At 38.9% G+C, this 20,321-nt stretch overlaps 1 protein-coding gene across 1 annotated transcript in view; it reads right to left on the bottom strand.

Annotated features, from left to right (window-relative positions):
- The window catches only part of RARB (retinoic acid receptor beta), a 768,612-nt gene that overhangs the window by 725,267 nt on the left and 23,024 nt on the right, over positions 1 to 20,321 (bottom strand). The window contains exon 2 of the mRNA NM_001290216.3: positions 13,914 to 13,992. The gene's annotated coding sequence lies outside the window, so the exon portion shown is untranslated. The remainder of the gene's footprint in view (positions 1 to 13,913; positions 13,993 to 20,321) is intronic.

Genomic DNA, 20,321 nt, shown 5'->3' with positions numbered 1-20,321 from the left:
AGTTCTCACTCCATCTATTCACGTGAGAGCTGGTTGTTTAATGGAGGCTGGCACCCCCTCCTCCCTCTCTTGCTGGCTCTTTCAGCATGTGTCACAACTGCTCCCCCTTCACCTTCCACCATGGTTGGAAGCTTCCTGAGGTTCTCACCTAAAGCAGATATTGGCACCGTGCTTCTTGCATAGTATGAAGAACTATAAGCCAAAATAAACCTCTTTTCTTTATAAATTACCCAGTCTCAGGTATTCCTTTATAGCAAGGTAAAATGGAATAATAGAGAAGGTGAGATTTGTGTGAAGACTTGACAGAGATGAGGGGATTAGGAAAGTGGATTAGGTAAGAACATTCCAGATAGAAGAGCTGAAACAAAGGCAGCAAGGCAGAAGCCTGCCTTCTGTGCTCAAGACATAGCACTGAGACAGTGAGGCTGCCACCGTGTGCAAGGGGGATAATGGTAATGGTGGAGGAAATCAGAAAGGGGGTATGTTGGAAGTGGTGGAAGTTGAAGTTCCTTGTAGGTCTTTGTAGGCCATTCTAAGGATTCTGGCTTTAAGTCTAAGTGAAATGGGGAATCATTCGAGGACTTTAAGAAGTGTCATGACCTAACTTACTCTCTACAAGAAACACTAAAAGGTTATATTGAAAACAGTTTGTAGAGGGGTAAGGGAACAAAGCAGGCCCCTTTTCAAAGTCAAGAGATGACCGTGGATCAGACCAGGGTGATGATAGGGGAAGTGGTGAGATGGGATAAGATTCCGCATCTATTTTGAAAGAAGAGCTAATAGGATTTCCTGAATGATTACTAGCGAGGCAATAAAGAAAAAGGAGTATAGAATAATCCCAAGGTTTTGTTCTGATTAGTTTAAGGAATAAAGTCACCAATAACAGAAACTGAGAAGCCATACATGGTGCAGGTCTGGGGTGTGTTCAGAAGAGAGATAAGGAGTTTAGTTTTAGACTTGTTAAATTTGAGATATGTACTAGGCATTCAACTAGAGATACTAAGTAGAAGCTGGATATCCAATCTGGTGTTTGGGCGAGAACATTGAATGCAAGACAAACTTAGAAGATGTTAGCATAAAAGCCAAGAACGTAAATGTTGATAAATGAGTAAAGTCCAAGAACTGAGCCCTGGGACATTCAATCTATAGATTTTGGGAGAAGAAGACCTAGAGGGGTGCGTGAAAAGGAGCAATCACTGAGAAGAGGAAATGTAGGACATGGTAGCGAGGGAATGCCCTAAAAGCCAAATGAAAATTGTGTCAAGAAGGACTAACGACGTTTGTCAGAGGTTGATAGCTAAAATAGGATGAAGAGTGAGAATTGACCATTTGATTGACCATCAAGAGATTTTAAAACTATGTCGTCTCAATATATATTCTTTAAAAAGACATTAACATCAACAACTAAAATAAAAATTCTCTGAAAATTAGGAATAGAAGTGAATTTCCTTAACCTAATAAGGTGTTACTGTATAAAAAACTTCAAACATGCTGGTTAAAAATTCTCTTACAAATTATAAAGAAGACAAGGTTGGTCATCAACATAAGTTCTATTAAAAAGTGTACTAATAATTAAACCTGAACTCATGGAATTAAAACAACTGAACTCATAAAGATAGAGTAGAATGATGGTTACCGGAGGATGGGAAAGGGAATGAGGAGGTTCAAAAATATAGTTAGATAGAATAAGATCTAGTATTTAAAAGCACAACAGGGTTACTATAATCAACAATAACGTACTGTATATTTTAAGACAATGAAAAGAAGGGAATTAGAATGTTCTTTACCCAAAGAGTTGACAAACGCTTGAGGTGATGGATCTCCCAATTACCCCAATGTGATTATCACACATTGTATGCCTATATAGAAACATTGCACGCATCCTATAAATATATGTGCCTATTATGTACACATATTTTAAGTGTACTAGAGTTCTTAATCAGTGCAGTAAAAAGTACTCATCCACACCTCCACCAAACACATACATGCAGGGCAAAATGAGTGAGAGAGAACAAGAATCACAGATAATATGATCCCCAAAATGCTACAATCAAATGATTAACATAATTAGTTTCTAAAGTTTCTGGATATAAAAATTAATGCTATAGGTAGAAGGCTTAAACTGCCAGAAATCAAGACTTAGTATAAAGAAATATTAAACAAAGCAGTGTTGATATAAATTTATAAAAAATAAAACATAACTAAGAGCCCAGAAAAATACATACAGAAATTTGACTTATGACAGAAACACTATTAGTGAGATAAGTTTGGACTATAAAATAGTGTTGGAACAATTAGTTTTCCTATTATGGAAAAATAGAATCCCTACCTTCACATCAGTTACAGACATCAATTCCAAATGAATTATGTGAAAGACAAGATTTAAAGATGTTCATAGGAAAACAATATTTCTATTTTTAAGAGATTGGTCATAAAAGAAAATAAATTAGAATGCATTAAAATTAATAAACTGTATTCATCAAAAGACACCATAAAGATAGTTAGAAGACATGCTTCAAACTGGGAGAAGATATTTGCAACACAAGTAATTAACAAAGATTAGTCTCCAGGATATACAAAGAACTTTTAGAAATCAACAGAAAAATATCACAGGTGTTTCATGGAAAAATGCAGCGTAAATGTTCACTGAACATGAAGTGATATACAACCTAATTAGTAAATTAGTAAATACCAACTAAAACTAAAATGAGATTTTCCATACTAAGTACGGAAAAATGAAGTTTCACAATATAAAAGGCTGATGAACGTATAAAACAACTGGAATACTCATACACAATCTATTGTTTCAGCTTGCACACAAATAGCAGAATGATAAACCAGGGAATGATTAACACAAAATTCAAGAGTGTTGCTAAAGTTCTGTTAGGAAGAGAGGATAAACAGAAATACAATTATGTTTACTGCTTATTTATAAAATGCAAAAAATTTAAAAATATTTTAAGGTCTAACAAAAGAGAATGAATGTGCTACGCTATGTCTGTATGATGAAGTATTATGCAGATATTTAAACATCACAATTCCAAAGAATAATGAAAAGAAATTCATACAACTGTCAATTTACAATATGATTCTAATTGGGGGAGGGAATAATTCATATGTATATGCATTTTGTAAAACTAGTTTTGTGAAGGGATTCATTCTCTCCTTCAGAGTTTTAGTCTATTTTTTATATTTTCCACATCAAGCTTGTTATAATTATTGAATCAAAAGAAAATAAGTGTTTTAATTTTCTAAAAATCAGGAAGCATAATTTGATTTGTCTTAATTTTACATTTATGTGAAAACCATAAATTCTACACTCTAGAAATATGCTGATTGTACTTCCTTTAAAATCTTTTTCCAATACATCAAAATATTATACACAAATACTAAAGTTGACCAGATTTGTAAACCAACTTAAGACACATTATGAAAAATCTCACACATGAAGACTTTAGTTGCTATTAGTGATTTTAATTGTACATTCTGTGTAAGACATTTAAAATAACATCATACATAAATGAATAAGAGACTATACCTTATTGAGAATTATTCTGAGTTTCCTGGATGAGAGAGAGATAACATGAAGGGTGTTGATGAAAAGAGTCCAACTCTAAAATATTTGAAGAGATTTATTCTGAGCCAAACATGAGTCACCAAAGGCCTTTGACATGGCCCTCAGAAGATCCTGAGAACATGTGCCCAAGGTGGTCAGAGTACAGCTTAATTGTATACATTTTAGGGAAACATGAGACATAAATTAAATACATATAAAGTGTACATTGGTTTGGCCCAGAAAGGCAGGCCATCTGGAAGTGGCAGGGTGGGACTTCCAGGTCATGGGTAGATAAAGATTTTCTGTTAGCAATTGATTCAAAAAGTTATTGTCTATGACTTAGGAATGTCTGGGTTAAGATAACGGGTTGTGGAGACCAAGGTTTTATCACACAAGTGAAGTCGCCAGGTAGCAGGCTTCAGAGAGAATAGATTGTAAATGTTTCTTATTATACCTAAAAAGTCTGTTATACCAAGTAATTCCAAAAGGGAAGAGGATATAATGAGGCAAGTCCAACCACACCCACCTTCCCATCATGGCCTGAACTATATTTTTCAGTTTAACTTTGGGATGCCCCTGGCCAAGAGGAGGAGTCCATGCAGATGGTTAAGGAGCCTTAACATTTTTTTTTGTTGTTTGTTTACAAGAGTATTGAGTTCTCGTTTCACAAAAATAGAAATGGAAAGTAGCCACGACAGAGTTAATATATAAAGTATTTTGAAAAGAATTCACTTTTTAAAAGCTTTATCAGCCTTATAAATGGATTAAATACTAAGTAAGTTTGGCATCATTTGTACAAGTGTGTTTCTGAGGTGCCTTCTATTCTTGTTGTGTATTACATTAATTATTTTGATCTCTAAAACCTAGATTTTCTATATCCAGACAATAGCATCTGGACAGATTTTAAAACAGGCTAACACCCACATGTAACACATGCATTTCATACTGTTTTATTGAAGCTACATTAAAAAGATTGAAGAGTAAGTGCTAACACAGCCCCAGGAAAATTATTGTAATTTCACAGATAGTTCTTACAACTCGGATATCAAGCCCCGTTTTTTCTGCAAGCCGTCCAGAGATATGGAATTGCATTTTCCTTAGTAAGGATGAATCATCTCCAACCCTGATCACTTCAATATGGGCATCTGTTATCTCAGTGAGCACTTTTATCTCAATGGGGAATCATTTCACAGTCGACTTGAAATCTGCCTATGGTTGACTTGAACTCAATGGCAGTCAATGAAAATTTCCCAAGTGTCTACCATTTCCTTTTGTTGTTTTTGTGGGCTTTTCTTAAGAGAATTTCCAAAGTTGATTTTTCAACTTAATGGACCACTAAAAATCTGGCAGGACCTGAACAAGAGGAGGATAGAGGCATGAGCAAGTATACACAAAAACGACCCTGAGGTCTCCTTCTGAGTTGCTTCAACACTGAGCACACTCCCCACTTCTGCCAGGAAAGGGGCCTGCACCCAAAGTTTGCTTCCCATGAGACCAAAGGCTCCCTCCCCTACAGAAGGGTAAGTAATTTCCACTGGGCTTTAAGGTGTCCAGGTGCTAGGCAGCAAGGGTTTCTGAGACAACTATATGAACAGTCGTTACTTCAAAATCGAGTCTGCTTGGTGCCAAGCTGGCCTGACTTGTTTTCCACTAAGAAGTTTCCTCCCTCAAGCTTTTCCTAGGAAAGTGAGGCTGCCTTCGCAAAAATTATTAATAGTGAGAAAATTGTGGCAGTGAAAGATCTCATTTAACCAACTCCCATCTTGCATTTAGCCTTCAAACTGCCCTTATTTATTCCTGGGCTTGGCCAAACTAACTTTGGGAGATATTTAGTTTATAGTTTTAAATGATAATAGCCCCTCCCCAAAACTTAACCACCTTTGTAAGGCCAATGAGAGACCACCTTTGTAAGGCTAGGAGGATGAGAGAAACACAAATTCTGCTAAGGTGTAGACATAAACAATTGCCAGCCATAATTCCAGAGGTCAAAAATATAAACTTCCCCAATTACTCCTACAGATAACATCACTATTGTAGAACCTAAGCTTGGCCTTTTGAGATGCCTTTTCACGTTTTTTGCATATCTGATGACCAATGGCTCCACTTGGACCTCCAGACCCTCCTGTAACCCCACCAAATGAAGACCATTTCCCACACCCCTGTGATTGTACCCCCAGTCAATCATCAGCAAGCATCCACTGCCTAGTCACTCTCCCTTTCTCCCGCCAAACTATCCTTGAAAAACCCTAGCTTCCAAATCCTTGGGGAGGCTGATTTGAATAATAAAACCCTGCTCTCCCCTTTAACCAGCTCTACATGTGTAAAACTCTTTATTTCAATTCTCCTGATGTGATAAATCAGCTCTATCTGGGCAGTGGGCAAGAAGAACTCATTGGGCAGTTACAAACTGAAAAGCAAGAAGGAAAGAATACTTGCATTTGGAAGAAAACCCCACATACTGTGAGGCCTGCAGATAACTAAGACCTGGAAGCCCCTCGGCCGGTGAGGGAGGTTGGGAGCTCACATCTTCCCTTCTCTTGCTGATTCTGGTTTGGTCAGTTTTCCCATTCCCCCCACGAAGCCTATTTCTTAAACCATGCTGTGTGGCATGCTGGAATTCATCTGGAACCATGGGTACATGAGAAAAGACAATCCAGAGTGCCTTGCCTTGTGTTACAACGGGTCATTAGCTTCTTTCCCTGTATACATGTCAGTTTAAATAGTTTATGAGGCTTCTATGCTAAAGTAGAATTTTAAAGGATGAAGAGGAGTTGAGAGTAGAGTGGATTTGAGGTGTGGGCTTGAGGACTGGACAAGGTAGTCACTCAGAGAAATGGTATGTGCAAAAGCGTGGGGGGATGAGACAGTTCCTGGAATTACAAGCCGTTAGGACTGGTAAAATGGAAAGCATAAGAGAATGGTAAGAGATGAAATGAGAGGTTGGCAGGATCAGGTGTGAAGGGAATTGAACGTCAGCCTAGGAGTTAGACTTCATCCTGGGGCCAGCATTCCTCAGATTGGTGTCCGCAGCTAACCACCTTAAAATCCAGAATCCCTGTGGCATTCAGGACCAATGTTTTACTTTTGATGGTGTGGATTAAGTGGTACTACCTAGAAATAGCTTAATTAGGGGGAAAGAGGTCAACTTAATATTTGTGTGGCACATTCAGGCCAAATGTCGTTATATTATGGCATAAAAATAAAAGTTTCACAAGTGTTTGAAAAAAATCTAATAACTGACCCAACATGTCTCAGGCTGCACAATTAGGTCAAAGCCACAATAACCTCACTGTAGCAAATCAACACCCATTCATGCTGCAATAGACAATATTCAGTAAGACCACAGTGATGTGTCACATCAATTTAATGTTAATTTAGATTTTACTCAAATTGTGTTTGTATTCACTTTGGTTTTATAGTTGTACAAGAACTATTAGCATAGAAAAATATATCTAGGTTTACATTTGTACGTATTAAGTTATAATAAATATAAGAAAATCACCACAGGACAGAGAGGTGGAAGAGGGCTACGTGAGACTCAGTAAAGCACGGTCTCTGGAACCAGACTGCTTGGGTTCGAATTCTGATTTCACAGCCTTCCTGTTACATGACATTGTTATTGAAGTTAGATTTGCTCATCTGGAAAATGGGGATAACAGAAGTTTCTACTACACTGGGTATTGTGAGGATTCAATGAGTCAATGCTGAAGATGCTTGGCATAAAAAAAATACAGTTGACCCTCGAGCAACATGGGTCAAACTGCAAGCATCCATTTACATGTATATTTTTTTCAGCTTGGATGGAAAACACTGCATATGCAGGTGTACAGGGCCAACTGTGAGACTTGAGTGCACGTAAATTTCCGTATACACAGGAAGTCCTGGAACAAATTCCTCTTGTATACTAAGGGACTCCTATAGTTCATGCATATAATACTGTGGTCCTCAACCTTTTATTAGGGCCTATAATTTATTCAAGTTGATGAATATTATCTGTAGGTAATGAAGGGACCCTCAGAACTTGTCATATAATAGGGAGACATGTATTTCTGGAAAAACCTTTTGGCAGCACTGAAGAGAATACATTCGATGGAGACGAGAGATTTAATACCTATTTAGGAGAGGAAAGCGAATGACAATACCATTGTGAACAAGAGTCTTTTCAAAGTACAGTTCCTTGACTAGCATTACCTGGAAAGTTATTACAAATGCAAATAACTTGAATCAAAAACTTTAGAAATACTACCCAGCAATTTGTGTTTTCACACACCTTCCAAATGCTTTTGATGTTCTGGGATAAAGGTTGGCAAAACTTTTTTGTAAAAGATTGATAGTAAATTTTTTAGTCTTTGCAGGCAACATGATCTTTTTTAGAGCATAAAAAAAATACTTAAAAAATAATAGCTGTGGCCATATTCCAAAAAATCACTTACAAAACATTAGCAGCCTGGATTTGGGCCTACCAGCCATAGTCTGTGGAGTTTGACGCCAGGAGTTGAGACTAGCAATAAAGAAGGAACAAGGTTGAAGAGTAAACTGAGTTTGGATATGAGAGAGTGAGTCTGAGTTGAACACCTGGTTCTGGAACTCGAAGGAAACAGCAGGGCTGGAAGTATAGATTCAGAAGACAGAATAAGGTGCTTACTAAAATGGCATGTGCAAACAACATTGCCCCAGCAACACATGGAGCCTAAGCAAGGAAGAGAGCCAGGGAAGTATCCAGAGGCCTACCAACACTGGACAGCAAAGGAAGAAAAAACGCAAAGGAACAACACTGAATGGCAAAGGAAAAGAACAAGGAACCAGGTCGATAAGATAAACACAGCAAAGGATGGATGGTGTGTCTGACATCAGAGGAGGACAGAACCTGGATACCAACAGTTCCAGCCCCTGCCGTGTTATACAACTTGAATGCCATCATGCCTGCAATCAGAACATCAGTGACTGTGTGCATGCTCACAGTTCAGTGTTATGGGTGAAACAAGTAAGCTCAGTGCAAGTGCAGCAAAAGAAGGATAGAGGAGCAAAAGTTAGTGAAACTTGTCTACATTTCTAAGCTTAGGGCAGAAAATCACATTCATGGGCAGAGACAGATTGAAAATATACAAGTCAGGGTTAATGAAGAATTGGGATTGGCAGGACATTGAGATAGGGTGGCGCCAAGAGCCTCAGGGAGGGGCGGGCCTTGAACAGGAGAAGGTATGCCTCCATCCTCACACATGGGCAGGAAGAATGGAAACATAGATACAGAAGTTTCTGGGTGGGCAAGAAGTTCAGCTTATTTTCATAATCTCGATTTTATCAGTGAAGTAGGAGGTTATCAAATAAGATTAGAAAAGTGTTAGTCTAATGACAGGAGGAAAGTGAAGATAAAGCAGCATTCCTTTAAAAAAAAAAAAAAGTCAAACTTGTTGCTTCATAGAAAATTTCCGCCTCCCCTAGTCAGTGAAAATTAGTGGTGTTCTCTAATTAAATTGGATTTATGAACAGGCCAGGCGTACAAGAAATCTTATTCCCTGTTTTCTATTTTGGCATTCACTTCTTGATGCTTTCCTTCCCCTAATCCAGGTTACGCTGACATGATCTTTGACTTCCCACAGAGAAGTGTTCATTTTAACTGGCAGGCAAATGATATTACACTCCAAAGGCCCATCATGCTAAATGACCATTAAACCATTACACTTAAGAACTGCCTCCCGAGATAGAGACTCCAAGTGCTTCACACAGTATCACTGTTTAACTATCAGCGTTTTATAGACAGGGAATTGTCATCACCAAGCTCACATGAATTCCTCTGGTTATAAACAAAGCATCTGTGGCTGGTTAGCTCGGTTGGTTCATCCATGAAGTTAAATGGCCAAAATCTTGGGTGGAATCCTTGTAAAGCTCTGTTAGTACGGATCTTTTCACAAGCCATTTGTCTGCAGCCCCAGTTAGATGAGGCATCTCAAAATGGATGCTCCTGATTTGGACAGGGTATGGCTGCCATCACCCCATCAATCAGCCTCCTCTTTCCTTATTCTTCAGCACATGCTCTGTGTTAATATGGGGCTATTCTCCTTTCTGGCCATCTCTGCCTCTGTGCCTTTCCCCACATTATTTCTTCTGCATTATTGTTTCCATCCAAGTCCTCCTGGTACTTCAAAAGTTTGCCTCACAATTCCCACTAAAGCTCCAGTATTTCTCTCAGCTGACCCCAGCCTCTGTGAGTCTATGTAACTGAATGACCTGCTTTGGAATCCACACTCTATAAATTTAGTTGATTATTACATTTAGTTTGTAACTCTAGGCTGCCGAAGGGCAGGTACCACAGATACAGTACAGTATAATATAAAGATGATATCTTAATTCTACTTCAGGTTTAGTAGAGTAGCCCCCTCCTTATACGTGGGGCATACATTCCAAGACCCCCAGTGGATACTTGAAACTGTAGATATATAAACCCTATATATGCTATGTTTTTGTAACCTATAATTGAAATGACTAAGTGACTACCAGACTCAGAATATACAGCATGGATACGCTAGACAGAGGAAGATTCACATCCCAGGTGGGACAAAGCAGGAGAGCCAGAGATTTTATTGTGATACTAAGAATCACAGGCAATTGGAAACCTATGAATTATTTCTAGGATTTCCAATCTTATATTTTCAGACCTGTTAACTATGGGTAACCAGAACTGTGGAAGGCAAAAACATGGATAAGGAGGGATGACTGTACTTCCTCACCAGGTAATCTTGGAAACTTCACCCACCTCTTTGGACATTCGTTTCCTTGAAGATGAAAAATCATATAATTCGCTACCTTATACTTTTTAATCACTATAGCCTTTAATAGCACTCCAACACTCGATGACTGATGAGTCATAATTCTTTGAGTATGAATCTATAACAAGAGTGAGAAACCAAACCCACACCTGATGGAAATGCGGGTCAGCAGCAGCAGTTCTTTCCTTCATTTTTCCTATTTCCAGCCATACCGTGTAAAGTTGTGAAGAGCAGTGTGTCTCACACATAGGTACTAGTGCTACCATTGGAAATGTTAGCTTACAGATTTTAAAAGGTGGTCATTTGATAACCATCTTTAGGCAGCAACTTCGGAAGTGTAGTCACAGTGAGAAGTTTGTGCCTGGTCAGCAGGACAGCTGATCCACTTACATGGAAGGAATTATACATACCTTGTCCATGGTTTACTGCCCTACCAGTGGTTCTTAAACTGTGATCCAGGGAGCCCTGGTGGTCCCTGCAGGGCATCCAACAAGTCAAAGCTACTTTGCTAGTAACACTAAAATGTCACTTGTCTTTTTCACGCTCATCCTTTCATCAGTTACAGTGCAGTTTTCCAGAGGCTACATGACGTGTGATATCACTGCAGCTTGAATGCAGAAGCAGATACGTGAACCCAACTACCTATTAAGCCAGACACTAGAAAGACCTACAGAACTGTGGGGGAAATCTTCCACGCTTCTCATTAACTTTTTTGCTTCAGGAAAGGTTTTTTTTTTTTTTTTTTTTTATAACAAGTTATTTCTGTTAACAAGGATAAGTTTATTATTTTAATAAATCAGTAAATCATTCTCTTAGTTCCTAATATGGTAAATATCAATAGGCATAACTGTATACATAGATCTTTGAGGTCCTTGATTATTTTTTTCTAGGAATATGAAAGTGTTCTTACACTAAGACATTTGGGAACCACCTCTCTGTATTAACGAAGGTATGAAATAAACACAGCTGTCCTTTGGTACCATAGAGGACTGATTCAGGGCTCCCCGAAGATACCAAAATTCATGATGCTAAGTCTCTTTATAAAATGACATAGTATTTGCATATAATCTATGTACATTTCCCCATATACTTTAAGTCAGCTCTAGATTACTTATACCTAATACAATGTAATGCCATGTAAATAGTAGTTATACTATACTATTTAGGGAATAATGACCGGAAAAGCCTATATACATTCAGTACAGATACTTCCTGCCCCCACCAAATGTTTTCCATTGGTGGTGGCTGAATTCACAAGTGAAAACCCTCAGTGGTCAACTATATTTGCCAAATATAAGACAGTCATGTATCCCTTAATGATGGGGATACCTTCTGAGAAATGCATCAATAGGTGATTTTGTCATTGTGTGAGTTTCACAAAATATACGAACCTAGGCTACATGGTATAGTCTATTGCTCCTAGCAAACAAACCTGAGTAGCAAGTTTACTTGTATACTAAGTCATTAGTATACAAGAAGCCCCTTGAGTTCATGTAGTTCAATTCCTCTTTTTAGAAAGTGACTCAGATAAGTTACTTCACCTCTCTGTACCTAATGTCACACAGCACATTATCACCTGACACAAGTTATGCTTTCCTTTTTAAATAGTCTCAATTTCAACATACTTAGGGGGTATTCTATTTAGAAAAAGCTTGCAATGATTTAGAAGAAATTTAAAGACTGCATGCAATGCTCTCTTCTGTAAAGGGTTTTTTTCTTCAATCAGCATGCCTCAAATTATTTATTTATGTGTGTATAGAGAGTAAGAGGGAGCAGCAGTGGATGGGTTTGTTTGTTTTCTATACTTGAGTTTGCCTACACTGAGGAATAGCTATGGTCAAACAACTCTTGCCGTGTGTTTGAAAGGAACCCCTTTAATCACAGAGAAGCAATAAAAGCAGAATGTAAAGAAACCTTCTGCCAAATGACCTGCTGAAAAGCAGCAACCAAGCTGACAACTCTCTCATGTCCTGTTAACTGGCTGAAGAACTAAAAGAAGGCTGAGAGGAGGTGAGAAAGGTTGGGAGGTTACTGGCTGGGAAGGCAGAATGTCCCAAATGCAAAAGGTTTATTCCTAGAACAATCAGAATCAACACCCAAGATGCGCCAGGTGACTTCAATATTTGCCACTGCTCCCTTTTTCCACAATGGGCAGCTAAAGATATGATGCCTACCCCCAAGAGGCACTAACCCCTCTGACATGGGCCCCGTTCATTTTGGGAAATGATTAGTTTAACATGAACATAATACAAGATCCTGGCAGCATCACAAACCAAGTGGAGGTTCACAGAACTTGACTTGTTTTATTGATGTAAAGGTAGGTCAGCAAACTACAAACTGTAGACCAAATCCATCCTTCCACCCATTTTTTTTTGTTTTTATTCCCAACCTTTGAGATGGAAAAGAAATTGCAAGGAAAATATATTTTACAACACCTGAGAATAATATAGAATTTAAATTTCAGTGTCTACAAATAAAGTTTTATTGGAACATACCATACTCCTTTGCATCTTATCCAGGGCTGCTTTATTGCTACAATGGCAGAATTGAGTCATGTGACAGACCATATGGCCCACAAAAAGCCTAAAATATTTACTGTCTAGTCCTTTACAGAAAATGTTTGCAGACGTATGATATAAACTTCCAAGTCCCCAAAGTATATAAAACTTACAATTCAGATTTTAATATCTTTGCATATTTTACCCTGGAAAACCTTAATGACTAAGCAAAGCATACTGATTATATTGGTTGAGTCTGGGATTTTGTGAAACATACTAAACCAGAAAGATTACCACATTTAGAAACACCAGAATACAGAGGTTTGAGACCAAAACCTTCTAAAGCAAGAGAGCTGCTTTAGAAGAGTCTGTTTAACTTCCAGGTGAGTACAATAACGTGGCACCTGAAGGCATTCTAATGCTTAACTATTTGTTACACCTACATGAGAGTTGTACTAAAAACTTACTTCACATTTCATCACATGGCTGTAAAACGAAGTTCCACCCCCTGAATCCATTCCCACTTTCTCAGTCACAACTCTCTCCCCAACCTCAAAGAAAAGCAAAACCCTCAAGCTCCCAGAACCACCTTGTTTCAAGAGATATTGCAATATAGAGAAAGACATCAGCTCAATTCTTTTCTCTCCGCTCTTCCTGGCAAGAAACTGCTGCCTTGAGTTGAACTGATTAACTGGAGTAAGCATTCTAAAAACCAGGTAGGGCTAAATACAAAGAGAATTACTGACCATAGCTTCTAATAAGAGTATTAAGGAACTTTTTTTTTTTCTTTTTTTTTTTTTTTTTTTTTGAGACAGAGTCTTGCTCTGTCATCCAGGCTGAAGTGCAGTGGCAGGATCTCAGCTCACCGCAACCTCCACCTCCCCAGTTCAAGCGATTCTTCTGCCTCAACCTCCCGAGTAGCTGGGACTACAGGCAAGTGCCACCATGCCCGGCTAATTTTTGTATTTTTAATAGGGACGGGGTTATACCATGTTGGCCAGGCTGGTCTCGAACTCCTAACCTCAAATGATCCACCTGCCTCGGCCTCCCAAAAAGTATTAGAGAACTTAAAAGGACTAAACCTGAACGTACCTCCTTGCTGAAGATTGTGAGAACAGTCCTCCAGATGAGCAGGACTGGTGACTGTCTTTTTATGATGATGTTCAGGATTCTGCAAAAACAATGGTTTTCATTTAGCAGTCTTAAACATCACAATGCAGAAAAAGAAATTAGATTATTCAAAATCTTTGCCTGCTTCTTCACAATACCTCCTTTCCATGACGTGACATAGTTAACCGTCTTGAAATGAGGAGACTACCAAGTTCTTTTGCTAAATCTTAAGCCAAACTGAAACTTCTTCACTGAAGCTGTACCCGTTCACAAGGAGGGAATCACACGATAGGGTACAGCCATCTTGGTTCAGTGCTTCATATTAACTGGGCTCAGGGGTGGGCTTACGTGCTTTAAATGCAAAAGAATTCACACAGGTGGCAATCGTTAATTATAGTGCCCATCCCACTAGCATGGACCTTTGACCCAATAGCAAATTAAAAGTAGATTGGATAAAAGTTCTGCTATAATTCAGGCCTGTGAAGATTTATAAGAAGAAAAAAAAAACATGTTGTAATCTTCTTGGTTTCATCACTTTTTACATAATAAAATAAGTTCTAGGGTCTACTGAGAGACACCTCCAATTACTACGTCAGCAATTTTAGGGAAATATGACAATAGTTTCTAATCCTAACATTTTTTAAGAAAGCAAAGTCTTAGGTTCTAAATTGTCTTTTATTCAAAGAATATAATTTAGTTTTCTTAATTTCCTCCTGCTAGGGAAGCTAAATAACTTGCCTCAGAGATCCTCTTTGATTAAAGTTTAACCATTACAACAAAATATTCCTTTTTGGTTGAGGGGCGGGGAGACAGGAACTTGCTGCTCTGTTGCTCAAGCTGGAGTGCAGTGGCATAATAACAGCTCACTGTGACTTCAAACTCCTGGGTTCAGGCTATCCTTCCATCTCAGCCTCCCAAGTAGCTGGAACCACAGGCACATGCCACCACTTCAAGCTATTTTTTGTTTTGTTTTGTTTTTTTTGTAGAGACAGGGGTCTCACTATGTTCCCCAGCCTGGTCTTGAACTCCTACGCTCAATGATCCACCCGCCTTGGTCTCCCAAAGTGGTGGGATTACTGGTGTGAGCTACTGCACTGAAGTCGAAACAGCATTAGTTAAAGAGGAGTAACTAGTGTTGGCAGAATTTACAAGTAAAAATACGGGATGCTGAGTTGAATTTGAATTTCAGGTAAAGAGCAAATACATCTTTAGTATACGTGTATCTACCATGTAATATTTGAGACATATTTGTATTGGGGACATAATTATGCTAAAAAATATATTTGTTGTGTATCAAAAATTCAAATTTAGCTAGGCATTCTGAATTTTATCTGACGACCCTAGAAACATCTTTAATTCAAAATGTTTCTGGGTGAACGAGCAGTGGAGGAAAAGTTTAGTGAGCGTGTTGCACCTAATCTTGGAAGACAGAAATACTTAAAAACTTTGGAACAGACTCCAGAACCGTTAGGACTCTCAGTTCTCCCATCTGAGGAATGAGAGGTGTGAAGTATAAATGTTGCAAGGGACTGTAAGGAGAAATTTTAAAAAGAATGATAGTCCAGTTCAGTATAAATGGCAACATCCTTGATTTTTTTTAACTTCTTTAGATTGCTTGTGTATGAATCTTACTGATGAGTGTAATTAATTTATTAGTGAATTAAATGAATAAAAACTTTTGGTGCTTCCAGCTCCAGTCATGGACCACAACGTGAACTATCAGGTGCAGCTTAGCAACTCAATAATGAGAAGGCATTTTCTCTTCAGCTTTGGTGCATTTTCTCTACCAAATAAATCAATTGAAAGCTCATCTTGACACTCCTCCATCCCCCTGCCCCCATCATTTCAATGTGAAAAGAGGAGACAGATTCAAGCAACTTAATCCAATTGCTTTTTCGAGATACAGACTCCTTAAGTATTGCCTCAGACTATGTCTGACCTCTTGAACTCACAGAGGGGAAATTAAGGCAGAAAAATCTAGCAGTTCAAATTGTTGTAACTTCAAGACCTGGTAAGATTTAATCTTTTTGGTTCCCCAAGGCAAATAAGGTTGAGCAAAATAACCAGAGAGTAACATGTTGAGGAATGGTTTATTTTTAAGGACTGAAAATGGCCCCAAACACCGAACATTTAGGAGGGTAGAAGCTACAGAAGTTCAAGGTTATTTAGTTACCAAAGCATAACGACATAAGTCAACGAATCAGGAGAGAGGTGTTGAGTGCAAAGCAAAAGAAAACTTAGATAGATAGTCAGGTACAGTATAAGGAATCTTTTGCCTTGGATAACTTTAATTTCAACATAACCATGGTGGACATAATACCATATCTACCTCAGAGTTACTTTTATCATGCAGTGGGTCAGGACATGTTTCTAGTCCTTAATACTATTGATTGGCTTCCTCTGAGGAGTCCCCTGAATATTCAATCCAGGAAGCCTCGCCACAAAGTGACAAAACCCTCACTATAATCCCCAAGCATGCCATGGTAGGTCTAAAACCTGGCTCATTTGGGGGAAGGTCTTAGAGCCTCATGGATGAATTTTTATCCCTGCAAAATTCCACTGCTAGGGCATTTCAAATAATTTTAAAGGGATCATGGTACATTTATATGAGAAGAATGAAGATACTCAAAATATTGTATATATTCAAGAGTCACCTAGGAAAACTTGTTGTAAATGCAGATTTCAGGCCAGGCGCAGTGGTTCACGCCTGTAATCCCAGCACTTTGGGAGGCCGAGGCGGGCGGATCACAAGGTCAGGAGATTGAGACCATCCTGGCTAACACAGTGAAACCCCATCTCTACCAAAAATACAAAAATTAGCTGGGCGTGGTGGTGGGGGCCTGTAGTCCCAGCTACTCGGGAGGCTGAGGCAGGAGAATGGCATGAACCCGGGACGCGGAGCTTGCAGTGAGCCAAGATCGTGCCACTGCACTCCATCCAGCCTGGGCGACAGAGAGTGACTCTGTCTCAAAAAAAAAAAAAAAAAAAAATGCAGATTTCCAGTTTCCATCTGGAAGGCTGAGACCGAAAATCTGCTGTGGTAGGTCGTGATTTTTCTGTTCAAATTTTTTTAAACAATCCATATAACATGTATTGATTATGTCTTATGATCAATGTAATGTGCTAAGTGCTGGAAGTTTAGAATTTAAATATGTACTATATTCCCTCTCAAAAGTTTATCCTTTGATCATGTTTATTTCTCAGAGAAGGCCTACAGGGAACAGGTATACAAAGGAAAGCTGAGGTCCAAAAAGATCACAGCATATACTAAAAGACACATAGCCAGTACATACAGAAGTCAAGTCTGCAACGAGGTAAGTTAATTCATTATTTTTCATTTCTTTTCCAACTATTTTCCTGCCATGCCTTTCTATTGTATTGCTGTGGCCTACTCACTGCCCTCTGAACCCACCAGACATACACTTGCCCCAGGACCTTTGCTGTTTTTCCTTTTCTATGTCCAAAGTATTCTTCCTCTTATCTGACTTACTGCTTCACTTTCTTCTGTCTCAGATCACCTTCTCAGTGAGACCTTCTATGACCACATTATTTAAAATTAACAGCCTTCCCACAGAGCACCCTGACCTTCTTTCCTATCTTCCCAGTCCTTCTGAAATGTGAAATTTAATGGACAAAGTGAAAACACTCCGTCTTACAAATCTGACGTGTAGCATACTCATCACTTGGAGTGATTTACTTATATGTACACATCTAAAGGTTTCTTGCCTGTCTCTGCTAGGATGGTAATTCTCAAACCTTAGCAGCATCAGAATTACCAGAAGTGCTTTTGAAAACACAGATTCCTCCTTTCCAGCCCCAGAGATTTGATTGAGGTCGTGCTAGTGGTGCCAGTCAGCAGATCGTTTTGAGCAGCCTTGCCATAAGGCACTAGTTCTCATCTAGGGATGATTTTGCCCCCAGGGAACATTTCATAATATTTGGAGACATTTTTTATTGGTACAGCTGGGGTGGGGGAGCCACCTGGCATCTTGAGAATAGGGGCCAGGAATGCTACTAAATATCCTACAATACGTAGGACAGTAGTGAGGAAGTTGAGTAACCCTGTCCTAGATGAATGCTTCTTAAATGCTACTATGCATCAAGAAGAGGAGGGCTTATTAAAAGTCGTATCATTAGATTGCACCTCCAGAGTTTCTGATTTGTTAGGTGGGTTCAGTGTGGAGCCTGAAAATTTACATTACTACTAAGTACCCAGGTGAAGGAAATGCTATTGGTCCAGGGCCAACACTTGGAAAACAATTGCAGAAGGAAAGCTCCACAAAGCAGGAATCATGGTCTCTTTACTCCTTTCCCCAGCAATAGAATGTGGTACAGTATAGTCACTCAAGTTTCTAATTGTTAATAACAGCACCACTACACCATGCACTCACATGATGATTCTGACACCAAGGATTCTTGGATTACACATTGAGAAACATGAGTTGTTTGAGCAGCAAATTTCAGATGCCTTCTAGTCCTGTTGACCCCTCAGCTCATTTACTACCAACCAAAGAAGTCCAAGGAGAGTTTGCATGTTTGCCCTGGCAGGCCTAACAATCTGCCTGAGGGGATGCTCAAATTACATCCCCACAGTAAGCTCTGTACAAAAGAAACAAACTGTCAAATGCAAGTCTCTGCATTCTCTATTTACGATGAAACTACACGACCCTACAACCAGCTGTCACACAATTCCCATTTTCAAAAAGGCCAGAGAATTTATTCACACACACACACTTAGTTCTTCAATCTGATCCTTGAGTGAGGTCTCTAGCATTGTAACATAATTGGGAATCGGTGGGTCTTGAATGTACTTGCACTTCCATAACCACATCTCTGGCAGCTGTCCACTTTAAGATGGTATCTTCCAGGTGCTGCCAATTACCTCTCCTTACATCATTTTCTGGGGGAATATTAAATTCAATTCCTTTTATCCTGTGCCCAAAGCCAACAATGAAGCAGTTGATCTCCATAATTCAAACATGTCTGATATCTTAGATTCAATGGCCCTGTTTAAGACAGGCATTTAATGAAGAACGGGTGAATGAGAAGTTTAATGGCTAAAGTGAAGACACTCCATCTTACAAATCTCTTTTTACTCATGTGGAATCATCAGCCAGTGTTATTGATTTGCATTTAACATTTGACTGGACTTTCTATTGTGTTCAGATGTTAGTATCCTCTGCTGGTGCCTGCAGGCTATTAGTTTCAGGGTAAAGCTTGCTGTTCTGAAAACCAGAGTCTTCTCTACTGAACTGAAAAAGCTGAAGCATTCACGATGGCTCAAAGAACCCAACACATTTTAGATAGCCGTAAAAAGTATTTCACTAGTTGTCTTTATTTTACAACAGTGAGAATTGACATAGAAATAATCAAAATCTATAAAGATACAGTTCATTATTTTATTATTATTATTATTTTAAGATAGAGTCTCACTCTGTCACCCAGGCTGGAGTGCAGTGGCGCGATCTGGGCTCACTGCAAGCTCCGCCTCCCGGGTTCACACCATTCTCCTGCCTCAGCCTCCCCAGTAGCTGGGACTACAGGTGCCTGCCACCATGCCTGGCTAATTTTTTTTTTTTTTTTTAGTAAAGACAGGGTTTCACCGTGTTAACCAGAATGGTCTCAATCCCCCGACCTCATGATCCACCCGTCTCGGCCTCCCAAAGTGCTGGGATTACAGGCGTGAGCCACCGTGCCCAGCCAGTTCGTTATTTTAAAAGCAGCATTATTGAGATATAGTTTATATACCATACAATTCACCAGCATAAAATGTACAGTTCAAAGGTTTTTAGTAAATTTAGAGTTCTGCAGCTGTCACCACAAATTTTAGAACATTTCCATCATCACCACAACCCCCCAAAAAATAACCCTGGGCCAATTTGTAGTTACCCACCACCAGCCTCAAACACTAATTTACTTTCTCTATCTGTAGATTTGCCTTTTTTGAGAATTCCATATAAATGGAATCACACTATTTGTTGTCGTTTATGTCTGGATCCTTTCAGTTAGGAAGATGGTTTTTAAGGATCATCTATGTTGCAGCACATATCAGTACTTCATTCATTTTTGTTGCCAAACAATTAATTGTATAGATATATCACAATTTGTTTATTCACCATTCGGTGGACATTTATTTTTTTTTGTTGGGCTATTATGAATAATGCTACCATAAATATTTATGTACAAGCCTTTATGTGGACATATTTTCATTTTCCTTGGGTAGATTCCTAGAAATAGAAATCCTGGGTCATAAAGTCAATCTATGTTTAACTTTTTTTAAATGCCAAACTGTTTTCCAAAGTGGCTGTATCATTTTGTAATCCCACCAGCAGTGCATGAGGGTTCCAGTGACTCCACAATCACTGGACCTCCAGAGTTTCTGATTTGTTA

Source organism: Homo sapiens, chromosome 3 (genome assembly GCF_000001405.40).
Source record: "Homo sapiens chromosome 3, GRCh38.p14 Primary Assembly".
NCBI lineage: Eukaryota > Metazoa > Chordata > Mammalia > Primates > Hominidae > Homo > Homo sapiens.
Note: the sequence above shows the minus strand (reverse complement) of the source record. Positions and strands in the feature narration are given on the sequence as shown.